General features: G+C 39.8%; 1 protein-coding gene across 3 annotated transcripts in view; it reads left to right on the forward strand.

The window, feature by feature from the left end:
• The window catches only part of RLF (RLF zinc finger), a 79,535-nt gene that overhangs the window by 45,574 nt on the left and 10,548 nt on the right, over nt 1-23,413 (forward strand). For 2 of the 3 annotated variants that reach the window (NM_012421.4, XM_047427055.1), the window contains one exon: nt 15,614-15,750. In NM_012421.4, coding sequence (NP_036553.2) covers nt 15,614-15,750 — 137 coding nt within the window. Of the gene's footprint in view, nt 1-15,613; nt 15,751-23,413 lie in introns of those variants that run through there. The other variant, XM_047427057.1, reaches the window with a different exon arrangement.

Consider the following 23,413-nt stretch of genomic DNA (forward strand, 5'->3'; position numbering starts at 1 on the left):
CTAAATATCTGCTGTCATTATTATAAATATATACTAACCCATTTAAAATGACCCCTATCACTTTGTCTTTCTGCCTATTTGTATTTTCTTCATAGTACACATTACTGCTTCTACTAGGCATCATATTTGATTATTCGGTATTTCCTCCCACTAGATTGTAAACTCCGGAAGGACAGGAACATAGGTTGTTTACTGGTATATCCCTGTATTCTAGAAGAATGCTTAGCCATGTAGGCACTCAATACTTATTGAATGAATTAATGAAAGGTATAGCCTCATCCCTTGATCTTTTGTTACTAGGATTTCTAGCTTTATTACCTGAGTTATGACCAGAATGTCAAAGCTGGAACATTCCACTCATGCTTTCTAAGTTTTTAAACTTTGCTTGGAGGTCTTTTTGAATTTTAAAATTGTGATTTTATATTTCTCTCTCTCAGCTTTATTTTATTTTGAAATATAGTTATGCTATCTGTATATTTATAAAAATAAGAACCAAGATGAAACCAAGTACAGTGTTGTGATTCAGATTTCTGTATAGGTTGATTGCATCCTGGATCAGTGCTTGGGTCAATAGTTATTTCAAATGGCTAAGACCCCCTGCTATGGCCCAGATCATATCTCCCACTGTGAGAATCTTTTATCAGATTTTTTTGTTGAAAATTGTTTTTTTTGGAGACAGAGTCTCTGTCGCCCAGCCTGGAGTGCAGTGGCGTGATCTCGGCTCACTGCAGCCTCCACCTCCTGAGTTCAAGCAGTTTTCCTGCCTCAACCACCTGAGTAGCTGGGATTGCAGACGTGCGCCACTACACCTAGCTCATTTTTGTATTTTTAGTAGAGACAGGGTTTTGCCACGTTGCCCAGGCTGGTCTCCAACTCCTGACCTCAAGCAATCTGCCTGACTCAGCCTCCCAAAGTGCTGGGATTATAGGCGTAAGCCACCACGCCTGGCCCCTTGTTGAAATTTAAGATGTACTTATATCTAAGATACTTCCCAGTGGCCAAAATACTGACTCCAGGAATTTGTGATTCTGTCCTGGCTCCTAGTAGTCTTTGCATTTCTATCAACTAACGTATTTTTTCAAGTGCTCACAGACTTTATTCTGGGATGGATATTGGGTTAGCAACATTCCACTTGGAAGCACTGTGGCCTGGTCTTTGAGATTTAGTAGTAACTTGAATCTGAGAGGATTGTCTAGGCAGGGAAAGTATAGATAGAGACAGAATGCTAGTCATCTTTGTTTTGGGGAATGACCTTACACAGGAGCACAGATACGGGATGCAGAGATGAAACAGCCAGTTGGTGGCTATGAAGTGGACAACATGTAGTTTCCTCAAATGGGGATTGAAGCTATGACCTAGGGCCTCATTAATAAATGTTCTTATTTGTTAGACTTTCTGGTGATAAAGAAATCAAAGGATAAAATGCTTTGCACTGCCTGTCTTTTCAGACTTTCTACTTGAATCTTAAATATAACTGCAGAAAACATTTATTGCTCACTTGTCTATTCCAAGCACTGTGCTGTGTGCTTTAAATGTGTCGGTATCTAATCCTTATAAAAATCTATTAATTTAGGCCAGGTGTGGTGGCTCATGACTGTAATCCCAGCACTTTGGGATGCTGAGGAGGGAAGATTGCTTGAGGCCAAGAGTTCAAGACCAGCCTGGGCAACATGGTGAAACCCCATCTCTACAAAAAAAAATGCAGAACTTAGCTGGGCGTGGTGGCATGTGCCGTAGTCCCAGCTACTCGGGAGGCTGAGGTGGGAGGATTGCTTGAGCTCTGGAGGTGCAGGTTGCAGTGAGCTGAGATCACACCACTGCACTGCAGCCTAGATGACAGAGTAAGACCCTGTCTCAAAAACAAAAAAACTTTGAATTTTATAGAAATTAACTGAGGCTCTGAGAGATGATATTACTGGCGCATAGTAGTAAGATGTCCAGTAAGTGGTGTGCCCAGGGTTTAAATCCAAGGTGATCTGCCTCTGCTTTGCTTTTATACATATTAATCTGACACTCACACATCTCATGTACATGATCCAACTCACTGTCACTGCCAACCTTCTGGTTCTTTCTGGATTCTGGTTCTTAAAGTAGACTTGTTGTGCAGGCAAGTTTTTATTTCTTTTGTTTACCCAGAGGGGAAACTTCAGAAAAGATGGGAGGGGACTTTGAAGTTCTGAGGCTTGTGGGTGGCTCATTACTGGACTGGATTTACTGAGGAGCTTAGGTAGAGTATGTTTTTCACAAGACATCTAGAGAAGTGAAAGCAACAATCAAAATATGTAGGCTTGAATCTTGACATTGTCATTTACTAGCCATACAGCCTTGGCCAGGTAGCTTTATTTTCCTTATCTATAAAGTAGGCACAACAGTAGTAGCCGTCTCACAAAATGGCTGGATAGTTTAAATGTGATAATATCTAAAGCACTTAACACAGTTCTTGGCATATTTTAGACACCTTACAAACATAGACCCTAGTATAAGAATTCTTTAAGCCTGGGGTGCAGAACTAGGGAGGATCCGTCGAAGTCAAGATTGATCAGAGGTGAAACCTGAATTTGCACAGAGAAACAATGTGGTATACACAGAGATAGCCTCCTATGACTTCATCTACATTTTTAAAAGCAGTCATATGGGCTGGACAGAGTGGCTCATGCCTGTAATCCCAACACTTTGGGAGGCCGAGGCGGGCAGATCATGAGATCAGGAGTTCAAGACCAGCCTGGCTAACATGGTGAAACCTTGTCTCTACTAAAGATACAAAAAATTAGTCAGGTGTGGTGGTGTGCGCCTGTAATCCCATCTACTCAGGAGGCTGAGGCAAGAGAATCACTTGAACCCAGGAGGCAGAGGTTGCAGTAAGCCAGGATCGTGCCATTTGCACTCGAGCTGGGGCGACAGGGCGAGACTCCGTCTTAAAAAAAAAAAAAAAAGGCGATCATAAGAGACCAACTATAAACCTGTATGCTAATTTATTTATTTGCAGTATCAGGTAGTGTAAGGAGATAGATTGCTTACCTCTAATAGCAGCTGCAGTATTTTATGTTTGGGAAAGTTAATCAGACTGAGATGTAGTAATGGTTATTCTCAGCACCTGACACATGCCAAAACAATTCAAAAGCAGCAGCAAAACACTACATTTTGGGTTTGATTCCTCATCCTGTAATAATAACAACTTTACTCTCTCAGCCTTTGCTTAATTAAAACCCGTTTTGTTTCTAATGTTGTATTAGGCATTGGCAAATACAGCAAACTGTATGGCCCAGTTTGTTTGCCAAAAATAGTTACAGAAAGAGAAGTACTAAGCTCAATGATTACTGCCCTAAATTCAGTAGAAGTGTAAAGATAGAGAATTCTGTGTTTATAGAAAAATTGATCCTTGAATTGGAGCTTTAAGTAATGGTGGGGTTTGGATGGGTGGAAAGAATGGTTTGGAGATGACTGAATGGTAGTAAAGCACAGGTACTAATGAGTACTTTGCAGGGATCCACTGGAGAATAAATACCCTGCTTAGGGCAGAGTGGTTATTGAAGTCTTGTGAGAAATAAGACCTGTTGGGGTTGGAAAAGAAGGGCTTGGAAACTCCATTGCATTAATGGTTAGATTTGATGCAGTAGAAATTAAGAAGGCTTTGCAGTTAGGAAGTGACATGTCTGAAGTGGTGTTTTAGGAAGACTAGACAGAAAGAATATGTATTATGTTTAGGACAAGAGATTGTAGCCAGCAAGAGGACAAAGGACAGGACTTGCTGACCGGGCAAAAACAGAGGAGGATGTACAGAGATACCTTCAAGAGGCTCATAAGGCTTCTAGCTTGGGAGACTGGAAGAATAGTGGTGCTCTGCTGCTAATTAGAAGAAAGAATGGGTGGAGGGACAAGGGAGAGTCTGGGAAGATGATAAGCTTTGTTTTATACATGATCTTTCCTGGTTTATTAATAACAATGTTTGGAAACAGGATTTTTCCTGATTGTGTTGAGTTTGCAGGGAACTGTGTTATAGGAAATACGATTTGATACTATTCACAACAGGGGGTTGGCACCCACCCAGCTACCTGTTTTTATAAATAAAGCTTTACTGGCACAAAGTCTTACATTCATTTCTTGTCTGTGGCTGCTTTTGTGCTACAGTGGCAGAGGTGAGTAGTTGTAACAGAAACTCTCTGGCCAGAAAAGCTAAAAATATTTTCTGTCTGTCCTTGTACGAAAAATATTTGCTAACCTCTGCTCTACAAGAATTAAATTTTCCAGTCTATTTCAGTGGTTTAATATCGGTTGGTCTAACCCTCCGTGTTCTACACGTGATGAAACTGAAGCCAAGCTGATAATGTTTCCAAGGCCCTTCCTGCATTAAGCTAATTAGAAAGGCCAAGCCCAGCTGGAATGCAGGTCACCTGGCTCCTTGGTCAGCCTTCTTTCCACTCTACCACCTATTTCCATGTGTTAGACATTGATAAGCCATGGTCTGATTGGGAACATCTTGGTGATATATCATTCTGTTCATATTTATACATATAGGTGTGATTTAAAACATTTTTATCATGATGTGGATTAATTTGTTAAATATACCAATGCAAAACATTTAGTACACATAAAGTTATCTTAAAATTATTTTAAAGGAACCCTAGTATCATCGTATCATCATAACTAGTCAGTCTTTTTTTTTCCTTTCTTTTTCTTTGAGATGGTGTTTCACTCTTGTTGCCCAAGCTGGAGTGCAATGGCGTGATATCGGCTCACTGCAACCTCTGCCTCTCGGGTTCAAGTGATTCTCCTGCTTCAGCCTCCCGAGTAGCTGGGATTACGGGCACGTGCCACCACGCCTGGCTAATTTTTGTATTTTTAGTAGAAACGGGGTTTCACCGTTTCTACTGGTGACCAGCTGGTCTCAAACTCCTGACCTCCTGTTATCCGCCCGCCTCGGCCTCCCAAAGTGCTGGGATTACAAGGCATGAGCCATCACGCCCAGCCACTAGTCAGTCTCTTATCCTAGTGATACTTTTCTTTTGCAAGTGTCAACAGAATTAAAAATAATCTGTAGTTTGCTTTGGAAAATTACTAGTGAGTCACCAGATGTTGATTAATTAGAGTTTAAATTCAGCATACGTTCTAAAGTAGCAGAGTTACACACATATTTGCCATCTACTTCACCTGAGTTCAGGAGAAGAGTTAACTTGAGCAACAGCTGGGAATAAAAGTACATTGTATGTTGGTACCTGGGGGTATCCCAATAATAGGCATATGTAATGGGAAACCGCTGCTGGGGAAGATTTAGCCAGACACATACAATTAAGATTAATTGACTGGGTCATCTGAAAGTCAAAATTCAGAACCTAGTGGGTAAAGAGTGAGTCCTTTCAGATATCTGGTAGGTCTGGAAGGCAGAAGAATTTCATGGAATCCTGGAGTTTTAGGTTGTGATACTTTATTTATGTAGAATTGAATGAGATGACATTGCTATTAACTTTACATATTAAAGGATTTTAATAAAAGTTATAGACTTGGCAGTGGCTCAGTGTCCCAAGTGGATGTTTCCTATATTTTTTCATTACTGAAAGGGGAAGTCTTTGCAAAGATCAGGTTTTCAACATAGAAAAGATAACATTTTAAACATCAAGCACTTCTATTTTAAAGAGCTCAAGAAATCTGTCAGCAGAGTTCTTGGCGCAGTTAAGGCAGGGGTCCGTTTCATTCTTAATCCCTGAATGAACTACATCTTCGGTATCTGACGTGGTTGATAGACACAATAGCAGATGGTTGTTTCTTTTCCTGATGGGGAAAGGAAAGGACAAACAGGATCCAATTTACTTACCAGCCTAACACTGTTGGGAATTGACACAGTCACTAGGTATAAATGATAGAGCAGATACCTTTAAACAGGACCCAGTGGGAATTCAGTTTGGGAGTAGAAGAAAAAGTAAACAGGAGTATAGAAATTCCAGATGTAGTTTAAGTAAGAATCAAGATTAAGATGAACTCTGAACAAGGAATAATTACAAAAGGTTTAATTAAGTTTAAAATATGCCACCTCCACCACCTTCTTTTATGCTAATTGGCTGCCTGTTAGACCATTGGTGTTTAATTGCCTGATTATTTTGAAAGTCTTAATACTTCTACTTTATCCTTGTGATCATACAAGGAATGAGATAATACACTCAGAATACACTAATGACAGAAAGTCTGTGTAAAGAAATTGAGGATTTGCTTGTTTAGGTATTTTATCTCCTAAAGCACAGTTCTTTCAAATAGCTTTGAAGAGACGTCTTCCCAGAACTTTGTATGCATCTGGATCTCACTTCTGATCTTACTTTCATGGGTTATGTGTGGGTATTTTGGTTGGTGTATGATTGCACTGGAGGGGGTCATTATGAAGAGTCGATCAGACATATTGTCAAGAATTCAGCAGGACGTTTCAGCCTTCTTTCAGATACACACTGTGATAGGGTTTAAATGGAAGCATTGGTGACCATTTATTTCTTTAAGAAATATACAAGGTCCGTGCAGCATCATAGTACTGGTCTGTAGCATTACTGCAGTTTAAAAGGAGTCTCATGTTTTTAAAACTGGTCAGTATTCTTTTTTCCCAGGTAATGTCTTTGAAGCTAACAGATGATTTTCCCAAAGATATCTAGGGTTACTTGAAATGTAAGTTTGCTAACTGTAACTCCCACCTTTCTTCTACTCAAGGATGCAAGTGAATGAAGTATTATTATATGAATAAGCTTAAATCTACTTTGATTCCTTTTTGAAAAAATAAAACATTTATCAACTTTGATTTTTAAAATCTATTACTAGGAACAAATTGTTTTCAGTATACCTCAGAACTAATCAGGGAAATACTGCATTGAAAACCACTATTCTAGAGAAAGGTAATGATAAAATATTAATGGCACTGGCCGGAATACTAGTTTACATTGATAGCCTAAGCAGGAAAATAACTTAGGAACGTAAGTATGCTGCCTGTACCCACCTTCTGTTATGCCAGTTGGCTGCCTCTTATGCCTGTTATTACTGTTGTTTAATTGCCTGATTATTTTGAAACCTTTCTAACTGTATCTAATCTTGCCTTTTCCTAATTTGTTTTCTGCAGTGGCCAAGGTGATCCTTTTTCTTTTTTAAGTAAAATTAGATATTTTATTTTGAGGTAATTTTAGATTCACATGTAATTACAAGAAATAATGCAGAAATGCCTTCCATTTATTCAGTATACATTCATTGGAGGTGTCTGCTGGGCAATGGGGTTACAAGAATGAACAAGACAAAAGGGAGAGAAACAACAGACAGTGTTCATACAATGTGAGATTTAGAGGTCTGAGCTGGAAATTAAGAGTTCTAATCACCATTTGAAACCAGAGAGTGAATAAGATTAACTTTTTTAGAACTCTGAAAAATAAAGGCTTTACAGCAATCTGAGGAGGTTTTACTCAAGAAAAAGAAATAAATCTCATAAGAATATCACCTTTGACCTCAGCTGGTAATATGCCTGTCAGGTGGCTCAAATTTTTTTGTCACACTGCGCATGTTTGTGAAGTGATCACAGAAGTGCTCTGATTATTGATTTGGGGGTTTTACAAATAAATTTTAGCAAGTAGGCTAATACACAAATACAGAATCTGCAAATAGTGAGGCCCAACTATATATTCAGAGAACTAAAGGAAACATGCTTAAAGAATTAAAGGAGGCCAGGTGAGGTGCCTCACACCTGTAATCCCAGCACTTTGGGAGGCCGAGGTGGGAGGAGCTCTTGAGACCAGCCTGAGCAACATCTACATGTGCAACATGTAGAGACCCTGTGTCTACAAAAAAATTTTTCAAATTAGCTGGGTGTGGTAGTGTGCACCTGTAGTCCCAGCTATTCATGAGACTGAGGTGGGAGGATCACTTGAGCCTGGGAGGTCAAGGCTGCAGTGAACTATGATCATGCCACTGCACTCCCACCTGGACAAGAGTGAGCCTGTCTCAAAAAAAAAAAAAAAAAAAAAAAAAAACTAAAGTATGAGAACAATGTCTCAGTAAATAGAGAATATCAGTAAAAAGACAAATTATAAAAAACCAAAATGAAATTCTGAAGTCAAAAAGTGCAGCAACTCAAGTTAATTCACTAGAGAAGGTCAGCATCAAATTTGAATTACCAGAAGAAAGAATCAGCAAACTTGTCCAGTCTGAGAAATGATAGAGCCCAAAATGCATGAAATAGCAGAATCAAAGAGGCAAATGGACAATTCAAACATGAGAGTTGGAGACTTTAACACCCACTCTGAATAATGGGTAGAACAACTAGGCAACAAAGAAATGGAAGACTTAAACAATACTGTAAACCAACTGGACTGAGCAGACATCTATAGACTACTCCACCCAACAGCAGCTAAATATACATTCTTCTCAAATGCACATGGTCTATTCTCCAGGATAGACCATGTGTTAGCAAGTAAAACAAACCTAAATAAATTTTAAAGGATTGAAATACATAAAGTATGTTCTCTAACTACAGTAAAATAAAATTAGAAACCAATAGCAGAAGGAAATTTGGGAAATTCACAAATAAGTGAAATTTAACCTACCTTCCCAAATAACCAATGGATTAAAGAAAAAAAAAGAAATTAGAGAGTAAGTTTTTGTTGTATTTTGTTTTGTTGTTTTTGAGACAGGGTCTCACTCTGTCCCTCAGACTGGAGTGCAGTGGCAGAATCATAGTTCACTGCAGCCTTGAACCTCCTGGGCTCACGTGGTCCTCCCACTTCAGCCTCCCAAAGTGTTGAGACTACAGGCATGAGCCACCATGCCCAGCCCAGAAAATACTTTGAGATGAATGATGAAACACAACATACCAATATTTATGGAGGGAAATTTCTATTTGTAAAATGTTGATTTTAAAAAAGAAATATCTTAAGCCAATAACCTAACGATTCACCTTAAGAAACTAGAAAAAGAAGAGCAAATTAAACTGAAAGCAAGCAGAAGGAAGGAAATAATAAAGATTAGAGTATAAATAAATGAAATAGAGAATAGAAAATCAATAAAGAAAAGTAATAAAGTTCTTTGAAAAGATTGACAAAATTGATATACTTTCAGTTAGACTGAACAAGAACAAAGAGAATACTCAAATCAGGAATAAAAAAGGAGATACCATCAACCTTACAGAAATAAAAAGGATTATAAAGGAATACTCTGAACAACTGTTTGCCAACAAATTACATTACTGGATGAAATGAACAAATTTCTAGAAAGATAAAACCCACTGAGGCCAGGTGCGGAGGCTCAACGCCTGTAATCCTAGCGCTTTGGGAGGCCAAGGCGGATAGATCACATGAGGCCAGAAGTTTGAGACCAGCCTAGCTAACATGGTAAAACCCCGTCTCTACTAAAAATACAAAAAACAAATCAGCTGGGCGTGGTGGCACACACCTGTAGTCCCAGCTACTCAGGAGGCTGAGGCAGGAGAATCGCTTGAACCCGGGAGGCAGAGGTTGCAGTGAGCTGAGATTGTGCCATTGCACTCCAGCTTGGGCAACAAGAGCGAAACTCTGTCTAAAAAAAAAAAAAAGAGAGAGAGAAAGAAACCCACAGAAACTGACTCACAGATAAATAGAAAACCTGAATATACCTATGACTAGTAAAGAGGGTAATTTAAAAATTTCCCACATCCACAGGGCCTCACTGTACAAAACATTTACGGAAGAATTAATACCAGTCCTTCACAAAGTATTCCAAAAAATAGAAAAAGAGGGAACACTTCCCAACTTATGCTATGAAGCCAGTATTACTTTGATACTAAAACCAAACAAAGGCATCCTAAGAAAGAAAACCACAGACCAGGCCAGGTACGGTGTCTCACGCCTGTACCAGCACTTTGGGAGGCAGAGGCGGGCAGATCACTTGAGGTCAGGAGTTCGAGTCCAGCCTGGACAACATGGTGAAACCCCGTCTCTACTAAAAATACAAAAATTAGCGAGGTGTGGTGACACGCACCTGTAATCCCAGCTACTCAGGAGGCTGAGGCAGAATTGGATGAACCCAGGAGGCGGAGGTTGCAATGAGCTGAGATCGTGCCACTGCACTCCAACCTGGGTGAGAGAGTGAGACTCTGTCTCCAAAAAAAGAGACAAGAATTCCAGAATGTCCACTCATGCAACTTCTGTTCTTATTGATCTCTTTGCCTCTATATTCTCCTCACCTTCTCCTTTTTTTCTGGGCTGTTGAATACATCTGTAAAAACTCTTACTTAAGGCTGGGTATGGTGACTCATGCCTATAATCCTAGCTCTTTGGGAGGCTTAGGTTGGGGGAACATTTGAGGCCAGGAGTTCAAGACCAACCTCGGCAACAATATGAAACTCCATCTCTACAAAAAAATAATAAAATAAACTGGGCATGATGGTGGGTGACTGTAGTCCCAGCTACCTTGGAGGCTGAGGCAGGAGAGAGGATCACTGGTACCTAGGAGTTCGAGGCTGCAGTGAGCTGCCATCGTACCACTACACTCTAGCCTGGGCCACGGAGCAAGACCCTGTCTCTTATAGTAAAAAACAAATGGGCCGGGTGCAGTGGCTCACTCCAGTAATCCTAGCACTTTGGGAAGCCGAGGCGAGCAGATTGCCTGAGGTCAGGAGTTCGAGACCAGCCTGGGCAACACGGTGAAACCCCATCTCTACTAAAATACAAAAAATTAGCTGGGCGCGGGAGCGTACGCCTGTAGTCTCAGCTACTCGGAAGGCTGAGGCAGGAGAATTGCATGAACCCGGGAGGCGGAGGTTGCAGTGACCCGAGATTGCGCCACTGCACTCCAGCCTGGGCAACAGAGCAATCCGTCTCAAAAAAAGAAAGAAAGAAAGAAAGAAAAACCCAACTCCTACTTAAGTCACAACATAGCATAAGGTAAAAGAAGTAACATATAACCAGCATAGTATCACCTTTCTTTAAAATATGTATATATTTGCAGTAGTCACATATTAAACCCATGCTGTGTAACGTGTATGTAGACATAATACTGGAAAAAAATTCACATTGTTAATACTGGTTATCATTGAGTTGTAAGATTTAAGGATAGTTTTTATTCTGTTTTCTAGGTTTTCTATCGTAAATATTTTTGTAATGAGCAGAAATCTAGTAAATAGTAATTAAACTACAGGTTTCAAGTGATTTCTTTTGGATGTATATCCAAGTGAAAACAACAAAATTATCTGTTTTCCCCATAAAACCCCATGAGTAAGTTTCAGATCCTTTAGTCTTCTGTTATCATTGGCCTGTATGATAACTTTGTGGAAATCAGCAAAAAGTACCATCACCCTCTAACTCCACCTTCATATGGTTGCCTTTCAAAGGTCTTCCGTCTTCTGAGGGCAAAAGCCTCATTGGGGCTTGACAAGTGGACTGAATTTCAGCCCCCACTAACTCCCTTGGCTGGTTACTTTTGTGCCATGCAAAACTGCACAACTCTGTGACATGGCCTTATTCAGTCTGTCTTTCCCCCAGTGTATGATTTAGCTCTATCCTAAGTCTCTAAACTTGTTTAATTTAACCTTTCATTCACTGAGTGTCAGCTACGTGACATCACGCATTGCCGTTACATCAGATAACCTTTTCCCTCCTCACATGCCACAATTACTCTCACGTTAATTAGTTTGCTCATTCCAGCTTTGTATTTTTTGGGCTACATTCTCCCCTATCCATCTAGACTGCTATCTCCCCGAGAATTCTTTTCCTTGGAATCTTTGTGGCTTCCTTCAGTCAGTATTATTCTTCCTGTCTTCAGTTTTCTGTCCCATTTATTCTTCATGTTATTTATCTTATAGTTATTTTTCATTCTAACAAATAGTTATTGATGTTCATTCATGGGTCTGGCACTGTTGTAGGCACTGAAGATACAGTGGTGAAAGAAACAGACTTTTGCCCTCAGGGAACTTACATTTTAGTGGTAAAATAGTAAACATAATTGATTCTTTAAAACACGTGTTCAGTTTGTCTTAATAGCTATAGAATTGTAAGCCCCAGGACTAGAAATTATATTTAAGAACAAAAAATTGTTTCAGTATCTTAAGTATAAGATGTTTCCTAGATACTCATTAAAACTCTCAAAAGTTTGTTGGTGACCTTCATTTTAATTTACTTTAGCTGAGAAGTATTTTGTGGCATATATTTGTTTTTTAGTGTGGTCTTAGGTATTTATTGCAAAAGATTGAGGACAAGTAGTATAACCATATTTTATTAGTGAGGTGTTATCTCATTTTAATTTACATGAATTTTTTAAGTTATTTATTTACTTTTATTTCTTTATCATATCTTTTCCTCTATATTCAAGAAGGTACAGGTATTTGGGGCATAATACTGAGATTCTCTTCAAGTCAAAGGATATTAACTGAGTGCTTGTCATGTGAAGATCCTAAAACAGGTGCTAAGGGGGATAAAAGTATAAAATAAGATCTAGTATCTGTTTTCAAGGGATTTAGAGTCTATAAGGAAGAACAGATAACAGATATGAAAAAACTCTGGCTTCAGTTTTTCTCATTTGTAAAAATGATCAGATGTCTCATTTAGTTAAATGACAGTGGAAAATAAGTCTAGAGTGATATTCCTGTTATTAGCTCAGATAAGTGGGTGCAAGGCAAATGAGCTCTTGAATTGGAAGCTTATACAAAGCCCACACTATAAACTAGTTCCGCCTTCACAATAGAAACCTTGATGGAAGTAAAACAGTCAAGTTAATAGGTAATGAAAATGTGTGTGTGAGATACCATGCTTAGGAGTTATGAACCTCTTGATCAGAAATTTAATTATCAGGCATATTCGTGTATTTTAAAATGCCAGGTAAACAGCAATATTAAGAGCTAATTAAAAGAATGTTAGTATTTGCTGAAACTGCATAATTGGAGAAAGTTAAGTTTAATTTGAGACATTGGTAGAGAAAGTTAAACTTTGCTTGTTTAGGCCAGTGCAGGAGCATGTTTACCAACAATCCCTGTGGTAACTTAGAAGGCATGGAGATAATGATAATAGAAAAACAGAAGTACTGGCCAGGTGCGGTGGCTCACGCCTGTAATCCCAGCACTTTGGGAGGCTGAGGCAGGCAGATCATGAGGTCAGGAGATTGAGACCATCCTGGCTAACATGGTGAAACTAAAAATATAAAAAAATTAGCCGGGCGTGGTGTAGTAATCCCAGCTACTCGGGGGGCTGAGACAGGAGAATCACTTGAACCTGAGAGGCAGAGGTTGCAGTGAGCCAAGATCACGCCACTGCAGTCCAGCCTGGGCAACAGAGCGAGACTCTGTCTCAAAAAAGAAAAGAAAAACAAAAGTGCTTCTACTCCTAGCAACTCTCAAGAGTTGATGCTCCCACAGTATTGCTGGGTTACCCACAACTATACTGAAATATTTTATTTCTATTTCTATGCCATGCTCACTCTTATTAGGCCACTGCATGTGTTTTTCTTGTCCTGGAGTATCTTTCTCAGTTCACTCTCTCTTTGCCATGGCTTATTCCTACTCATTCATTCCTACTCATCTTAGGTGCCACTTTACCCAGAAAGTCTTTTTTGGTCCCCAAATTTGAGTTAGATTCTTCCTACCAAAGGTATTTTTAAAAAGTATACTCTCTCATTGTAGCTATTTGATTCTTAGTAACTGCTTCCTTACTAACAACCCTGACTAGACTGTGATATCCATTAGGGCAAAAATTAGATTGGCTTGCATCTCCAGTACTTAGCACGGTGCAGGTATTTAGCAAATGGCACTGCTTTGCTAGGCACATACATTTTGATATGGCTATTTTTCTTACAGGATTTTGTTTACAGTGGATTTGGGATATTATTTATAGAGCTGTGCTCTTGTCCTCAAGTTTATAGTCTAGCTGGAGAGCCATAGTGAAAGTGCATAAAAAAGTTAAATAATAGGGCCAGGGCATTGGCTCACAACTATAATCCCAACACTTTGAGAGGCTGAGGGAGGAGGGATCACTGGAGGCCAGGAGTTTGAGACCAGCCTGGGCAGCATAGTGAGACCTCATCTCTACAAAAATTAAAAAAAAAAAAAAAAAAAGGTGTGGTGGTACACACCTGTGGTCCCAGCTCCTTGAGAAACTGAGGCAGGAGGATCGCTTGAGCCCAGAAGTATGGAAACTTCAGTGAGCCGTGATTACCCTAACTGCACTGCAGCCTTGGCAACAGAGTAAGACACTGTCTTAAAAAAACTAAAAATAATAAAAGGTAAAGGCCAGTATGAGTAGGTTAAATGTTGGCCCAAGGCAGAATAAATAGCCCAATTTAAACATTTTTAATTTAAAAATGAACTTTGGACTCATTTTTTATTTGTGAAATAGAAATAATATTGCCTGCCTTGCCAGTCTTACAGATTTGTCATGTTGAGATATGAAAAAAAAAACAAGATAATACAGTAAAACTTATTTGAAAAAATAAAAGTTCTAGAAATAAGTGCTACAAAGGAGAAATTTGAGAGTGTTTGACAGCGAACCAAATAACATGACCTCAGAAGTTAGGAAAGGATTCTGTAAGAAAATAACATTTGAGCTGAGCTTTAAAAAAAGCCTTTCTGCACCTACCTGAAGATATGACTAAAATTAGAGCCTTAGAACCACCCCCTTGTAACTGCGTAGCGCACTGGAGGAGTTGAGCTGTTTACCTCATTTGCTCTGATGCAAAAAAAAAAAAGGCCGGGCACGGTGGCTCACGACTGTAATCCCAGCACTTTGGGAGGCCAAGGCGGGTGAATCACGAGGTCTGGAGATTGAGACCATCCTGGCTAACACAGTGAAACCCCGTCTCTACTAAAAATATAAAAAATTAGCTGGGCACGGTGGTGGGCGCCTGTAGTCCCAGCTACTCTGGAGGCTGAGGCAGGAGAATGGCTTGAACCCGGAAGTCGGAGGTTGCAGTGAGCTGAGATCGCGCCACTGCACTCCGGCCTGGGCGACACAGCGAGACTCCGTCTCAAAAAAAAAAAAAAAAAAAGAGAAAGGAAAGGAGCCCCAGAAAAATTTGATTGATTTGTCCAGAGGATTTTTATTTGTTTTTTGTTTGTTTTTTTAAGATTTAAGTCATATAAATGAAAAGATATATTTCTAAAAAGGGTTTTGATGGTCTGAAAAACTCATTAATACACTAGATATTTTCCTTCTATGAAAAAATGATGTTAATGTAGCATTTGTATTTAAAGCAGTTCCTGAACTGGCCTCCTTTAGCCCCACTGATATTGAGGATAAGCCATATGTTTTACTATCTGTAACCAGAGTGACCCAGCTGTGGTCATAGATACTAGGGGAAGACAGGAACAGGAAAGAAAAAAAAACATAGTAATACTTCAGGTAAAAATAACCTGAGATTATTATATATAATTTGACTCATCTATATGGTAGCAATGTTCGTAATTTTTTTAAACTGCAAAAATGTTTTTATCTGTATTGAGACTGTAGTAGAACTTCCTTATAGTGTCTGTTCCCTTCTTTAATATTTTCTTATGTGAAATATTCATGCAAGAAGACTCATTCATTAGCAGGAGAAAATTATGTCTCTAATTTTTGCCTCATTAAGAAGTTTCACCTTATATAACAAAGTTTACTGAAAAGTCACCATTTTCTTTTTGACTTAGTCATCTCATTTTTGATAGATTGCAAAGGTCGACTGCAAGGAAGTACTAGACATCATTTGTAATCTGGAATCTGAGGGGCAGGATAACACAGCATTTGTTCTTTGTACGACTTACCTTACCCAGCAGCTCCAAACTGCAAGTGTATATTGTTCTTGGTAAGTATATTTAGTTTTACACTCTTTATTTGTTAGTACATAGTATAGCATTTAGGGTTTATGTAAAATGTTAATTTGTTTCTAATTTAAAACCTAGCATGACCTGTGAATAGCTTCTTGCTTCCACACACAATCATTTAATTAAAAATATCATTGGTTTAATCTAGTCAAGAAAAGGTAAAATGTTCCTCTTGATCATCCCATAATGGGTTGTCTGTTAACTCCAATATATGTCTTCTACCTTGAAGATAAAATTTTGTCAATATGAAACAAACCTGTGTTAGTTAGATTGTTTTTCTTTTCATTTTTTTAGTATCTTCTGGGTAGTCACTCCCCATTCTTATTTGGGAACCCACAAATGAAAAGGATCAAATTATCTAGGTTTCTAGGTCAAACTAGCACTAAAAAAGGAAATTCACTTGAATAGTAATCTCTTTTGCAACTTTGGAACTATATAGTTGAATTGCATTATTTTGGTTTTAATTCAATTTATATCTTGTTTGCCTACAGAATACTTAGTTGCTAAAAAGGAAACAGTAAGTGTATCCGTGGTTCTTTCATTCTAACTGTATTGAATCTATTTAGGCCAAAGGGACAAACCTGATACACAGGAAACCTCTAAAATGTAAGACTCTCTGTCAGTAAGTATCAGATTAGTGGTATGGATAATGCTATAGGAGATCAGAGAGAGGTGCTCACTGTATACCAGAGTATTAAAGGTGTCAGGGAGGAAGTAATATTTGAGATTTAATTCTAAGAATGGGTTGGATTTGCATTATCTTGATTAGAGGAGCTCTGAGTATTTCAGAACCTAAGGATGGCTTAAAATTGGAAATGAGCATTTTGTTTATAGGAAAACCTAGTAAAGCCTTTTGTGTACTTCAGCCCTCATTGATCTCCCTCTGGATCGTCTGTCTATTTTTATAGTTTTATGGTTAATACCATTGTATGTTACTATATTTCTTTTTGTTTATTATTTTATGTAGAAATTTTGTGTACTGTAATCTCACCCAGTCCTCATAATAATCATTGCACAGGTGAGGCAGTGGGAGGATCATAGGGACCAGAGAAAACTTGTAATTGTCCATGGTCTCAAGGCTAAAGTGGTAGAGCTGAGATTCAAGCCCAGGTTTTAGACTTCTAATCCAGTGCTTTTCTTCTGTATACTTGTTTTCTTGGCATAGGCCAAAATTCAAATTGTAGTTTTTTACCACCAAATCCACTATGCCAGAGTTATACCTCCTGTGAGAAAGGAGATAGTGGGATAGCGACTTAAATATAATTTCTTTATAATGAAAAAATATCCACCATTATAGCTAGGTTTTCAGTACGAATAATAAATTAAATCATATATAGAATGTGTTATAGATTGTGTTTAAAATTTTTCTCCCCTTCTTCAGTCAGCCACCATTCACTCTTCCAGAGCTGTTAGTGGCTCTAGGATTAATGCTGTTCTTCTGTAGCAGGAAGAGATGAATGGAGATTTCCCTTTGTGGCCTCCTCAGGAGCTATAATGAGTAAAGGAAAGAAAATCTTAGTCATTTCACACTTTGTTAAAAGGAGCTTCTTTCAAGCAATTCAAGGAGCAATTGCATCTTTTTTTTTTTTTTTTTTTTGAGACGAAGTCTTGCTCTGTCACCCAGGTTAGAGTGCAGTGGTGTGATCTTGGCTCACTGCAACCTCCGCCTCCCGAGTAGCTGGGATTACAGGTGCACACTGCCACGCCCGACTAATTTTTGTATTTTTGGTAGAGACTGGGTTTCACCATGTTGGTCAGGCTGGTCTCAAACTCCTGACCTTGTGATCCACTGCCTCAGCCTCCCAAAGTGCTAGGGTTACAGACGTGAGCCACTGCGCCTGGCCACATCTTTTTTTTTTTTTTTTTTTTTTCCCCTTCCATTGTTTTTGAAAGCTTTTTTTTTTTTTTTTTTTTTTTTTTTTTTTGGTAGTGGGATGCTGGAGTTAGAATATTAGAATAACATAAAACATTGAATTTTGGCCAGGCATGGCTCATGCCTGTAATCTCAGCACTTTGGGAGGCCAAGGTGGGTGGGTCAGCTAAGGTCAGGAGTTCAAGACCAGCCTGACCAACATGGTGAAACCCCGTCTCTACTAAAAATACAAAAATTAGCCGGGCATTTTGGCAGACACCTGTAATCCCAGCTACTCGGGAGCCTGAGGTACCAGAATCACTTGAACCTGGGAGGCGGAGGTTGCAGTGAGCCGAGGTCATGCCAGCCCAGGAGACAAGAGTGACTCCGTCTCAAAAACAAAAAACAAAAAACATTGAATTTTACTAAGGAAAATTAATCACAGGAATTCTGTTCATATGAGATAGATCTTTTGTTATGCTTGAGGTAGTGGGACATAAGGAGTATTTGTTTAGAAAAAAATTTTAAATTAAGTGGTATTTTGGATAAGAGAGATATCAGTATTTTTTAAATGTGACAATAAAGTTAAAATACAATAATAAAAGTAGTCATGCTTATTTTTAAACACATACGCTAGAATTTATGTCTTGGGAGTATCATTCTTGAGTGTAGTTACCATGAAGATAATATTTGAAATGTAAACTATGTAGCTATTGGCCAGGCGCAGTAGCTCACGCCTGTAATCCCAGCAATTTGGGAGACTGAGGCGGGTGGATCATTTGAGGTCAGGAGTTCGAGACTAGCCTGGCCAACATGGTGAAAACCCATCTCTACTTAAAATACAAAAATTAGCCGGGCGTGGTGGCGTGTGCCTGTAATCCCAGCTACCCTGGAGGCTGAGGCAGGAGAATTGCTAGACCCCTGGAGGCAGAGGTTGCAGCGAGCTGAGATCGTGCCACTGCACTGCAGCCTGGGTGACAGAGCAAGACTCTGTCTCAAAAAAAAAAAAAAAAAGCCGGGCGCGGTGGCTCATGCCTGTAATCCCAGCACTTTGGGAGGCCGAGACGGGCAGATCACAAGGTCAGGAGATCAAGACCATCCTGGCTAACACAGTGAAACCCTGTCTCTACTAAAAATACGGAAAATTAGCCGACCTGGTGGCGGGCGTGCCTGTAGTCCCAGCTACTCGTAAGGCTGAGGCAGGAGAATAGTGTGAACCTGGGAGGCAGAGCTTGCAGTGAGCCGAGATCGGGCGCCATTGCACTCCAGCCTGGGTGACAGAGCGAGACTCCGTCGCAAAAAAAAAAAAAAAAAAAAAAAAAAGCCGGATGGTAGTGGTACGCACCTATAATCCCAGCTACTCAGGAGGCTGAGGCAGGAGAATCGCTTGAGCCTGGGAGTGGAGGTTGTGATGAGCCAAGATCACACTGCAGCACTCTAGTATGGGTGACACAATGAGACCCTGTCTCAAAAAACCAAACAAAAACAAAAAACTATGTAACTGTCACTCAGAACGGTTTTTATTATTTTAGAAATTTCGCTCAGAGACATTTACAAACCACAGTAAAAAGTAAAAATGTTTTAAACTTTATAGCAGTTATGTTTAACTTATTTATTAATCTTGACCCCAAAAGATTTTTGGCTGTTGAAGAAAATTAAAGAAGTACTAGAGGAGTAAGCTCCCTGTAGATGCCTCTCAGTGGTAACGTAATTGGAATAGTCATGCATTTGAAAAAGGTGACCATTTTGAGTGAGATGGTGTTTGTATATAGAGAGGTGTAATTACGGCAGCCATTTTAAAGTCATAAAGTTGAACTTTGAACCTCCACAGTAAGCTTTCAGTGAGTATTTGATAGACTGGCCTTTGATTTCTGTAATGTGCTAAGCTTAAATTTTGTGTTACACATTTGTATTTCTTCAGATGTAGTTACATGTCTGTTCTGCCCCAGCTAGACTGTGATATACTAACCAATATGTTGTCTAATTCACGGTTGTGTCCTAAGTAACTGGCGAAGACTAGCATATGTGTTTTATTTAACAGAATTGTATGGGAGAGAAAAGAGGTCATGGGGGTCAATTACTATTGTAATAGCTTTAAAAATTTTTTTTTTCTGTAATAGCCTTTTTTAGGGGATGATCATCCCTTAATTCCACAGTTTTATTTACTTCATTCCTAAAATACCTAAATTCTGAATCTCAGTGTAACATGTTAACTGGACTTCATGGGCTTCTTGCTATGTAGAAACACAGAGTGATGTTTGTATGTATATATGTGTGTATGTATTTATTCATTTATTTTTGAGATAGAGTTTTGCTCTTGTCACCCAGGCTGCAGTGCAATGGTGCAGTCTCAGCTCACTGCAACCTCTGCCTCCCGGGTTCAAGTGATTCTCTGCCTCATCCTCCTGAGTAGCTGGGATTATAGGTGCCAGCCACCACGCCTGGCTAATTTTTTATATTTTTAGTAGAGATAGGGTTTCACCATGTGGGCCAGGCTGGTCTCGAGCTCCTGACCTCAGGTGAGCCACCACACTGGCCAAAACACAGAGTAATTTAAAGTTCTTGCTTAGTAGCTAAATTCCTACCAAAATGTGCTTCTTGCTGTTAACAGAGCTAAATTTCCTTTCCGATTTTTATAAATTTATATATAATTTGTTGAAATGAGCTAGGTAATGGGCTAAATCAAGGGTACAGTACATCATCTGAACATTGGCAGCATACATACAGTGGAATCATTTTCCATGATTTTCAATGGTTGGCTTTGTTTAAAAAAGTCACATTATTGTAGTAATTGAAGAAGAACTTATCCTAGCGCATGTTTGATCTGTCAGGCTGTAGGTTACTATTGGATGTTGATTTCAGTGTTCCAGTGTACAGATTTGAATGGATGATTGAAGTGACATCTTGCATCCTCATGAGTAACATACTGGCTGTCGTGGTTTCAGGCATGTTTATATATTTGGGTGGGTAATCATTTTACATCAATTTATAACTATGCAAATATTTTTACAAAATACACCATAAAATGCCCATTTTTGATCATGCTTATTTGGAGTTAACATACTTGGAGCCTGAAATACTTAATTTGGAATAAACCAAGCCCTGGACATTCTGACTTACTGTTTTAAAAATTATTTGAGTGGCCAGGCATGGTGGTTTACACCTGTAATCCCAGCAGTTTGGGAGGCCAGGGCAGGTGGATCATGAGTTCCGGAGTTCAAGACCAACCTGGCCAAGATGCTGAAACCCCGTCTCCACTAAAAATACAAAAAATAGCTGGGGATGGTGGCGGGCACCTGTAATCACAGCTACTAGGGAGGCTGAGGCAGGAGAATCGCTTGAACCTGGGTGGCAGAGGTTGCAGTAAGCCGATATCGCACCACTGCACTCCAGCCTGAGGGACAGAGCAAGGCTCCATCTGGGGGGAAAAAATTTATTTGAGCCTGTAATCCCAGTACTCTGGGAGGCTGAAGTGGGTGGATCTCTTGAAGTCAGGAGTTCGAGACCAGCCTGGCCAACATGGTGAAACCCCATCTCTACTAAAATTACAAAAGTTAGCCAGGCATAGTTGCGTGCGCCTGTAGTCCCCAGCTACTCAGGAGGCTGAGGCAGGAGAATTGCTTGAACTTGGGAGGCAGAGGTTGCAGTGAGCCGAGATCATGCCACTGCATTCGAGCCTGGGCAACAGAACAAGACTCCATCTCAAAAAAAAAAAAGCCAGGCGTGGTGGCTCATGCATGTAATGTAATCCCAGCACTTTGGGAGGGCAAGGTGGGCGGATCACCTAAGGTCAGGAGTTCAAGACCAGCCTGGCCAACATAGCGAAACCCCGTCTCTAAAAATACGAAAATTAGCTGGGCGTGGTGGTGGGTGCCTGTAATCCCAGCTACTCGAGGGAGGCTGAGGCAGGAGAATCACTTGAACCCGGGAGGCGGAGGTTGCAGTGAGCCAAGATCATGCCATTGCACTGCAGCCTGGGCGACAGCGTGGACTCCATCTCAAAAAAAAAAAAAAATTATTTGAGACACCTTAGTTCTCAACCTGCCTTTTACCACTTTAATGGATTTACCTAACTTTGTTGCCAGGCTGGAGTATAGTGGCAAAATCGAAGCTCGCTGCAGCCTTGAACTCCTGGGCTCAAGTGATCTCCCACCTCAGCCTTCCAAGTATCTGGGATTATAGGCATGAGCCTCTGTGCCCAGCTTTAGTTAGTGAATTTTATTTTATTTGAGAGAAGATATTACTCTGTCACCCAGGCTGGAGTATACTGGTGAGATCACAGCTTACTGCAGCCTTAAATCCTGGGCTCAATGACCACCCTGCCCGCCCCCCGCTGCCTCTGCCTCCTCAGTAATTGGGACTACAGGTGTGCCACCAAGAGTGGCTAAGCTTTTTTTGTTTGGTTGGTTTTAGGGTCTTACTGCGTTGCTCAGGCTGGTCTTGAACTCCTAGCCTCAAGTAATCCTCTGCTGAGGTTATAGGGATGAACCACCATGCCCAGCCCTGCAGTAAATTTTAGATAGTTGACATCATTTACTCATTTATCGTTATAATCAGGATTTACTGGCTTTGATAATTTTTGTTCTGTTCAAATAGGACAGATTTCACATACATATGACAGATTACAAAAATTTTTATTACTTAACGTGCTTAAATCTGAATAAAGCAATTGTGTGTTTAAAAATGAACAGTTATCCCAGCTTGCCTGGTTGGTGGCTATTTTCACAGCTGGCCTATCTCAATTTTCACTTCTTGTGGTTAGGAAAGTAGCACTAGCCAAATAAAGGCAAATATTTAAAGGCATTTTAAATTAATTATATTGGTTATAGCTCAAATTTGCCATCCTGTTAAGCTTTATTCATTTATCTTTTTTTTTTTTTTTTTTTTTTTTGAGACAGAGTCTTGCTGTGTCACCCAGGCTGGAGCGCAGTGGTGCAATCTCGGCTTACCGCAACCTCCACCTCCCGGGTTCAAGCAATTCTCCTGCCTCAGCCTCCTGAGTAGCTAGGATTACAGGCATGCACCACCACACCCAGCTAATTTTTGTATTTTTAGTAGAGACGGGGTTTCACCATGTTGGCCAGGCTGGTCTCGAACTCCTGACCTTGTGATCCACCTGCCTTGGCCTCCCAAAGTGCTGTGATTACAGCCATGAGACACCACGCCCGGCCAGTCATTTATCTTTTGAGACACCATATATTCATTTCAATCTTTGAAGCGAGTTTTATAACTACTTAAAAATTTCACCTTATGCCGGGCACGGTGGCTCATGCCTGTAATCCCAGAACTCTGGGAGGCCGAGGCAGGCAGATCACCTGAGGTTGGGAGTTAGAGACCAGCCTGACCAACATGGAGAAACCCCATCTCTACTAAAAATACAAAATTATCCAGGCGTGGTGGCACATGCCTGTAATCCCAGCTACTTGGGAGGCTGAGGCAGGAGCATTGCTTAAACCTGGGAGGTGGAGGTTGCGGTGAGCCAAGATGGTGCCATTGCACTCCAGCCTGGGCAACAAGAGCAAAGCTCCGTCTCAAAAAAAAAAAAAAGAAGAAAAGAAAATCACCTTACAAGAGCCCCAGTTCCCTCTTTAGAAATATAAGAAAATAAATTCCGTTAAATATATTTACTTTAAATTACATGTTTTCATTTCTTAAGCTTTGGATTTGTAGCCAACTTTCTGGGAGACAGTCTGTGTTAATAGCAATATAGGATATCAGTGTTTTTAAATTGGCTTATGAAAAAGTACAGATTTTTAAATGAAAATTATTTAATCAGTATCCATTGATTTACT

The sequence above is a fragment of the Homo sapiens genome, chromosome 1 (genome assembly GCF_000001405.40).
Source record: "Homo sapiens chromosome 1, GRCh38.p14 Primary Assembly".
Lineage (NCBI taxonomy): Eukaryota > Metazoa > Chordata > Mammalia > Primates > Hominidae > Homo > Homo sapiens.